This window comes from Homo sapiens, chromosome 3, assembly GCF_000001405.40.
Source record: "Homo sapiens chromosome 3, GRCh38.p14 Primary Assembly".
Taxonomy (NCBI): Eukaryota; Metazoa; Chordata; class Mammalia; order Primates; family Hominidae; genus Homo; species Homo sapiens.
The window spans coordinates 5260975-5270316 of record NC_000003.12 but is presented as its reverse complement, the minus strand read 5'-3'; the positions used below and the strand labels follow the sequence as shown (position 1 = coordinate 5270316).

Sequence of the window (9342 nt, the reverse complement as noted above, 5' to 3'; positions counted from 1 at the left end):
TTCTTAAAATTAAAATAGCAATTAAAGCCTCACGCCTTGAGAAAGAATACCAGATATGTGTAATAAGGAACTCTTGTCTTCACCTGAGTTCCCTAGAAAACAAAGGCAAGGATTAGTGCTGATGATTATTTATAGGTCCAATTACAGGAAAGCGAGAGTGAGGTACATGGATGTGAGACAGAATGAGAACAATTCAAAATTATGATTACCACATTTCTGACTCTTTCACAATAAGCCATAAAGAGATACAGTAGGTTACTTATAATTCAGCCACGTGGGACATCTTCAGATAAGCTCTATAGGTCCGAAATGCTGGCTCTCGCCTGTAATCCCAGCACTTTGGGAGGCCAAGGTGGGTAGATCCCTTGAGGCCAGGAGCTTGAGACCAGCCTGGCCAACATGGTGAAACCCCTGTCTCTACAAAAAAAAAATACAAAATTAGCCAAGCTTGGTGGTGCACATGGGTAATCCCAGCTACTTGGGAAGCTGAGGCATGAGAACTGCTTGAACCTGAGAGGTGGAGGCTTCAGTGAGCCAGGATTCTGCCACTGTGCTCCAGCCTGGGCAGCACAGCAAGATTCTTGTCTCAAAAAAAAAAAAAAAAAAGATAAGCTCTATGGATAAACCATGCTTCAAGCAGTCCATGGGTAGAAGGAAGGAGAGAAAAATTATCTATGTTTCCCCCTCCTCAGATTGCCAACATTCTCCCCTTATAGAATTAACTCCCCCACAGAGCTAATACACTGTGGTGTCATGCTTCTTTCAATCTCAGAAGTGGAGAAAGGAGTTGGAAAGTCAAAGGTATGTGGCTACTGGGCCTGGCTTGTGGTAGCAGCCATGGAGGAGGACCCAGAAATTCCAAGCAAGGAATTATCTGACCTAAGCAAGAAGATGCCTCAAAATCAGACTTGGACCAATAAAGCCACCACACTTGCCACTCTATCAGTGCCTTCCAACTCAGACCTCATACGTGCTCAAACTCTTACTCTCTAACATCTCAAAGCTGACATTTGCAGTACCAACATGGACAGGTCCCTACATACGCGTACAATCCTACCTATGAATTTGGGCCTATTGGCTTTGCTTTCTGGGTATCCAACCCTATTGGTCCATATCCATTGCCCTTGCATGTCATGAATAGTACCCTCACTCTCTATAGAAGATGAGAACAGAAAAAAAGACGGGCAATCACTGATAACCTTAAGCCAATCAACACCTCAACGTTTGTGCAAAGAGGACATATTGAGTCATTTTTTTTTAACTTGTTGCGTGCAGAGACACTCATCTCTGATTCTCCTCTCTAAAGGGATATAAGTAAATTTTGCCAGTAGAGATGCAGTGTGCCTGCCTCTTGGAGCACAGCAATTTTGCTGTAAATTTAAATTCCAGGCTTGTTGGTGGCCAGAGTGGTACAATGAAGAGAAGACTAGACTAGTACTTTTTAAATTTATAAACAATTAGATAGGAAAAAAATTTTACTGCATATAATAAAGCCAGATATTTAAAAGAAAGGGACTCAGAATACAGAAAACAAGTGATACCTATTGTTTAACTTTCTACATGACATTTACAATTTGGATTAGATAATATGTGGATCAATTTTGACAGATACCAGGAGATTCTACCTTGTATAACAAAATACAAGCATCCCTGATTTTCACGGCTTGTTTCTGGAAACTGTTTAGAAGCTGCTGCCATTCCACGAGTCCAGTTGTTTATGGATGCCTCCATCATTCACGGCTACTATTGGAAAGTTCCTGATTCATTGTCTATCTTGAGATGCAAGACCTTTTAAAAATGCAAACCTTTCTCTACTAGAAATATAAAACTTTTCTTTTGGAAATGTTTCATTTTCCCAGGATGAGAAAAATTAATTGTTCCAGACAGTTCGGAGCTAGACTAAGGGCAAAATGGCAGATTGCTTTTTCTTCTTCTTCATGAGGAATCTGAAAACACGTTCTAGTTCCAGTTCAGCCATGTACTTGTCTAACTTGGGAAAATCCCGTAACCACTTGTAAACTCAGTTTTCTAATCTCTTGAGAGGGGAAAATACTACTGTTGCAGTATAATTTTCAAACAGTTATACTATGACACTGATAAATGTATGTTAAAAATTTTATTCAACTCATTAATTAATGAGATAGCTAGTAAGATGTATCACTGGTTCGAAGAGGAATATGAAGAACAGAAATATAGTCAGTTAAAGAAATGACAAAGCAAATTTGCTGACAGATGCAAAACTAGTTAATATCCTACAGGTCAACAAACTGTAATATTTGGCATTATCCATTTTTACCACATAGAAATCAATTGCATCTTGACTGGACAAAATTTACTTACATTCCTATAGAGAGGAGTTATTTACATTCCTCTCAGACAAGAATCATGTGCAATGTATTAGTTTTCACAAGTTAATGTCTATCCCTACAGAGTTATCAAATAGCCTAGTCCAAGAGATGGCAAGAAAAACTACTGCCCATGGGTCAAATCTAACCCACAGCCTGTTTTTGTACTGGTGGCAAAGTAAAAATGAGTTTTACATTTTTAAAGAAATGTTAAAATGAAAAAAGGACAAGAATGTTCAACAGATATTGTATATGTCCTGCAAAGCCTAAAATATTTACTATCTAGTAAAATATTGACTATCTAGCGTTTTACTGGAGATGTTTTCTGACCCCTGACCTAGTCAACAGTCTACCCCCCTGTAGACTTAGTGAATCCCTAGGGGATCGGCTGCACAACATTTGTACTGTAGTGAGGGGATAAAGCATCGTCTTGTTTGCCACTTCAAATCTGGGATATTTTTTCCTGACATCTTCCATGCTGCCCTAGAGGAACTGTTACAAGAATCAATTTTGCTGACAAAGCAGTTAGTAAACTCTAGTGTGCCATACATGAATAAAGGGGCACATTTGCCATAAGCAAAGAGTTGACAGTTTTCAGAGGTAAATCCTTCAGGGTCTGGCAAGATCATAATGCCATCTGCCCAAGGCTGATACTCCAAAGATATTTGGAATCCTGGAATAAGAAGCATTCACCTCCATAAATTCTGCTATTCTGTGTCATCTTCAATTCCACTAGGATTTATGAAAAAATTTACACTTTGTCCTTCAAAACTGGCTTACAAATCATTGAGAATTTTACTGAGTTTTGATTTTTTGTTATTGTTGTTTTTTGACTACTGAACTTCTTTCATAATGTCTTTCCTCACCCACAGCTCAGTGACAATGCCATCATAACCACCTTGGAATATTAAACTTTTTTCCATGCAGATGAAGATTTCCCAGAGCTATTAATGTGTTTTCTAAAAAATGAGGGTGATTAATAAAATTAAGCAACTTTTTCTGCTTTCCGGCTCTAAAATAAAAATCCTACTGATAATATATGAAAATCCATTCCGGCTTTATGAAATGTACCATTTATCTCCATTAGCTAGTTTACTAGTATCTATTGACCTCCCACTGGGTATGAAACATTCTGCCACATATTCTAGCAGATAGAAAAATAAGATCCCACCCATGTCCCTAAGAAGCTTAAAATCTATTTAGAGAAATGCAAAACATACAACATCAAGAGCAAACCCATGAAATATGAGGTCCAAAGTAGGATGAAATCAGCAGGGGTGATATCCTAACATTTGGAGTCAGAATAGTTCGTGTTTATAATTCCATGAAGTAGAGAGGTTTCCCATTTTATAAGTATTTCTGCAAACATTAGTTACTACCATTAAAAATCAAGGTAATTTATGTAAAACTGAGACTTACAAGTTTTCTTTAAAAATATGGTGAGCTGGTAAAACTGAATCCACATTTCTGCATGGCAACATCAACTAGATTCTTCCCTCAAAGTGTGGATCACAGAATTGGCATCACAACATCACCTAAGAGCTGGTTAAAAATGCAGAGTCAGCTGAGTGCAGTGGCTCATGCCTGTAATCCCAGCACTTTGAGAGGCTGAGGTGGGCAGCTCGTTTCAGGTCAGGAGTTCGAGGCAAGCCTGGCCAATATGGCAGAAACCCTGTCTCTACTAAAAATACAAAAATTAGCCGGGCGTGGTGTGCATGCCTGGAATCCCAGCTACTCAGGAGGCTGAGGCAGGAGAATCACTTGAACCCAGGAGGCAGAGGTTGCAGTGAGCTGAGATCATGCCACTGCACTCCAGTCTGGGTGACAGAGTAAGACTCTGTCTAAAAATAAAACAATTAAAAAATAAACCAGAATCTCGGGCTCTGCCAGAGACTAAAATCCCAGAGCCAAGATGCCCAAGTCACTCACTTACACACATTGAAGTCTAAGGAGCACTGAGCTAAACATGGACAAGCCCCTTAGAAGATGGGCATGTGCTGTCTAGACAGGTACAGTCCCTACCAGTCCATCTTTCTTCACGCCTGGTCCATGTACATATTCCAGTTTTCAACCCTAATCCAAAGCCCTTAGCCCGTAGGCTAAGGGCCTATCAGCTAAAGCTGCACAGAACTCTATTTCAAAACTTTCTCCCACTACACCTCAATGCAATCCTTCCATTCAACTTTCACCCAAAGCACGAGCACCTCTAACACACTTTTCCTGCCATTACTGCCCCAATCATTCCTCTCACCTCAAGCGCCTTTTCTTTAGGGCACCAGGCCTGACACACAGCAAGGATTTAGTAAGTGATTATTTCATTCATGCATTCCTTCATTCACGTGTAAAAGCATGTGTGTGGACACAATTTGCATTCCTTACAGGAATTATGGGACTTTCCAATGTCAGTCTTGCTCACATTGGTACTCCTAGCACCCAGCAGAGTGCACAGTGCATAGAAGGCATTCCAGAAGGAAAATATGAACGTAAGAAAAAAACCAACAAGTGAATAGAGGAATGTCCTATTAAATTAATGCCAGAACTTCAGTGGCAAATATTTATTACCTACCTAGTACTATGCTGGGCCCTGAGGTACAAGGTAAATAAGATACCATCTCCACGCTCAAGAATTTCCCAATATGTGTGGAGAATCTCATAGATAAGCCACCATAATTGCTATACAAGAGAATTAGAGCTATAATAGAAGTTTAACCACTACTGATCATTTTAATAAGCCTGCATAACAAACAACCATAAAACCTCAGTGGCATGCAACATTTATTTTTTATTGTTCACGTGTCTGGGGTGGTCAGCCAAGTGGCTTTGCTGTTCTTTGGTTGGACTTACATATCTGGAAGTCAACTGGAGGTCAGATATTCTAAAATTCTTGTGGCTGGAAAGACCAGCTCCCCTCCATGTGTCTCTCATCCTCCAGCTGACTATCCTGGGCATTTTCATGGTGATGGCAGGTACATAATATTTTTCTCTTGATAAGATGAAATCGGCCAGACGCAGTGGCTCATGCCTGTAATCCCAACACTTTGGGAGGCTGAGGCAGGCAGATCTCTTGAGGTCAGGAGCTCGAGACCAGCCTGGCCAACATGGTGAAACCCCGTCTCTACCAAAAAATATAAAAATTAGCTGGGCGTGGTGACGAGCACCTGTAATCCCAGCTACTCAGGAGGCTGAGACATGAGAATCATTTGAACCCAGAAGGTGGAGGTTACAGTGAGATCATGCCACTGCACTCCAGCTTGGGCGACAGAGTGAGACTCCGTCTCAAAAAAAGAAAAAAACAAACAAACAAAAAGATGAAATCATACCATTTGCACATTATTTTAAGGTCAGCAAAACTACATCTGTCTTGTGCTTTGGGTTTGTTTTACAATAGGTGGACTACTATCCCCACATCTTTACCTAGCAATACTTCTGGTTGAGGCCTTCGGTTTTGAATCGCAGAGCAGGCTTCAGACATGGCATAAGACTATTTCAAATAAGTGACTTACTGCTGTGCTGGGTTCCATGAGACTCACACCAACTGGAACTGTGCTTCAAAGAAATCCTACCAGGAATCTGGAGAATGCTTGGGATACTATTGTGCATGACTCAGAAGCAGTGAAAACTCTAACTTTTCAAGCCTTTCTTTACATTATGTCTGCTAACATCCATCAACCAAAGAAAGTCACATGATCAATTCAGAAACAAGAAGCAAGGAAATAGATCTCCTTCCTAATGGGAGGAACTTCAAAATCACATGGGCTAAGGGTGCGGATAGGGGAAATGAGGAAGAAGTGGGCCATTTTTGCAACCTGTCATAAGAGGTGTGAAAAAGCTGCTGTAGGCGGAAGCTTAAAATCAACAATCTAAACACAGGAAAGCTATTGAGGAAGCTTTCCCATTCCACAATTCCAAGATTACGTTTTCTCAATACTATCTAAACTAGAAAGACCACTGCCATTCAAAGCCATGATATAACATACAAAATAACAAAACTTACTGAGCCCTTTCAATGTATCCGGCCCTGTGCTAGGCACCCCATATGCACTAACTGATCTCCCCTTCTCCTAACAAACCTAAGACATGCATATTATTACTCCAGTTACAGGTGAAAAAACTAAGGATCAAAGAAGTTTGACAACTTGCTCAGGTCTGCAAAGCCAGGATCAGGTACTCCCTTGCTCTCTTCAGCCACACCACAGAAACTAAACTTATGCCCATTACCTTGTCTTCCTTTTCCTTACTGAGAGAGGGTATGTAATGGTTTTCACATACAGGTCATTTTTGGCCAAATGTAGAATTAAAATTTCAGTAAGTGAACCACCACAAGTCAATTACAGCACAGGTCAGCCATGAAATTGCAGTTGTGTATTTTTAGGGCCATTGTATACTAACAGACAAGGCCTATTTGTTTTCCTTTTCCTACAATATTGAATTTTGAAATTGAATCCTTGGTTCAAAAAGTTCTGATGCCATTTGTGTGATGTCAGTTGCAAACCAAATTCAAGGAATCCTGAAGAATCTAATAATCATGTGTCAACCAAAGATGAGGGTTGCATTTTTCATTCTGTGAATAATGCATTTTAATGAAACCAATTCACTCCTCAAGTTTGAAAGCCACAGCCTAAACCTTCCCTTCTATCACACCATTTTGTTCTGTGTGGTCATTTGCTGGCCTTTGCTGGCAACTTCAAGAGGCAAGGACAAGAAAAGTCAAACAAACAGACATGAACCTTCAGGGTCACTTGGCATTCACTTGCCATCAGAGAAAACTTTCCATCCCAAAAGATCAGATTCTCACATGGTGCAACCCATTTTCCTTCCCTGCTGAAATACACAATTTTCCATTTGTTCCAGGTGTTGGCTCCCATCGATGTCTGGCATAGGGTAAAAGGATCAAAAAATAAAATGAAGTCTTGCCTCAGCAATCCTGTCAGAATTCCCCAGTGGAACTTCTAAAGTGGCCCACTTTTCAAAGTGACATAACAAGCAATGAGCCATTTAGTGATTCAGCTGGAAATACAAAGCCCAGGCTGTTTATCCTTAAAAATTTCCATAAGGTTAAAAACAATAAAAAAAAAAGAAGAAGAAAACAAAACAGCAAGAAAAGAAGAGAAAGACAACGTTTTCTTATGATTTACGTTAGGGATGGCAAAAGATTTTGTCTTATGTAATAACTCCAGTCTAGGGTCTCCAAATAGTGTCTTCCTGGTATGCTAGATGGAGAAGAATGTTGAGGTCATATCTGCACATGATGGGAAAAGTGCAGCAATCAATTAGCAATGTCTGCTTCATTACACAACGGGAAGTGGTAGTCTGTGCGCTATCCTGGCTTCATTCTTCCAAAGTTGCAGTTGTTTGAAAGTTCATCTAGAGTTCTATCCAATATGTTTTATTGTATAGATGGAGAATTTTTTAAAGTATCTTTTAATGCCCAACATAACTGATGGCATTAAAGAATTACAATAGACTGGGCATGGTGGCTCAGACTTATAATCCCAGCACTTTGGAAGTCAAAGGTGAAAGAATCACTTGAGGCCAGGAGTTCAAGACCAGCCTGGGCAACATAGTAAGAACCCATCTCTACAAAAAATAATAAAATTAGTTGGGCATCTGTAGTCTTGCTACCCAGGAGGTTGAGGTAGGAGGATCCAGGTGTTCAAGGCAGAGCCCAGGCGTTCAAGGCTGCAGTGAGCTATCACACCACTGCACTCCAGCATGGGCAAAAAAGTAAGACTCTGCCTCTAAAAAAAAAAAAAAAAAAAAATTGCCACAATGGGCTATGCTGGGTGACTCATGCCTATAATCCCAACATTTTGGGAGGCCAAGGTAGGAGGATTGCTGAGGCCAGGAGTACAAAACAAGCCTGGGCAACATAATGAGACACCATCTCTACAAAAAATTTAAAAATTAGCTTGATATGGCAGTACGTGCCTATATTCCTAGCTACTTGGGAGCCTGAGGTGGGAGAATCACTTGAGCCCGGGAGTGTGAGGTTATGGTGAGCCATGATCTCACTAGCCTGGGTGACAGAACAAGACCCTGTCTTTAAAAAACAAAACAAAACAAAAAAATCCACCAGAAAAGTGATCTAAGGTGGTTATCAGACAACCATATAAAATGCCTACAACACACTTACATATTTATTGTTCGTACCCAAGCTGCATAAAATTGGCTTCACCCAACTGGATTTCTCTTTAAAAATAAATAGCTGTTCTTTCCCATTCTCACCTTATAGTATAGAAATTGAGTGCTATGAAATAACTATGTAACCATGTCTTTCCACAGCTCCAGAATCAAATCAGTGGCTTTTGGCTAAGCAAGAGGTGAGATAACACTGAGAGCCTTGTTCAATAAAAGCAATGCAGCCCCATAGCATGGCTTCATGGACTACATCAGATCATTAGGCAGAGATTAACTGCCTTTTGTGCCTGCTACCTCATTAAAGCTCACAAATAATAGTTGTTCCTACTAGTTAGTGCTTATTCTACCATCCCTCCTTACCACCTTGTAGTGCCCATCCCCTCATAGTGCCTTGGTAAGAGAAACAGCCTTATTGATTAATGTCAGAAGAGACCTGGGAGTAAATGGTGTTTTGTTCTTTATACAAAGGTAGGAGTGCACAATGAGATGCCTGCCGTTTGAATCCAACAGTTCTTTTTTTAACTCAAGTCTATAAACAGGAAGAAACTCAAAGCCTCCAATTCCTCTTTTCTCTCTCTTCCTTTTCTTGTCGTGTTTTCTTTCCTTTCCACTTTTCTTAACTTTCCCTGTTCTTTGCTCCTTCCAATCTTCTTTCCTTCCTTCCTTCCTTCCTTCCTTTCTCTTTCTCCTCTTTTCTTCACTTCTTTTTCTTTTTTTTTTTTTTTTTTTTGAGACAGGCTCTTGCTCTGTCTTCCAGGCTGGAGTACAGTGGTGCAATCATGGCTCACAGAACCCTCTACCTCCCAGCCTTAAGCATCCTCCCACCTCAGCCTCCCAAGTAGATGGAACTACAGGCATG

General features: G+C 40.3%; 1 annotated feature.

Moving 5' to 3' along the window:
- Nucleotides 5303–5468: a silencer, noted in NCBI's record as "fragment chr3:5306534-5306699 (GRCh37/hg19 assembly coordinates)". NCBI's record gives its function as "represses an EF-1alpha promoter that drives an FKBP-Casp9 reporter gene in an ReSE screen in K562 erythroleukemia cells {active_cell/tissue: K562}" and the evidence as "EXISTENCE:reporter gene assay evidence [ECO:0000049][PMID:32094911]".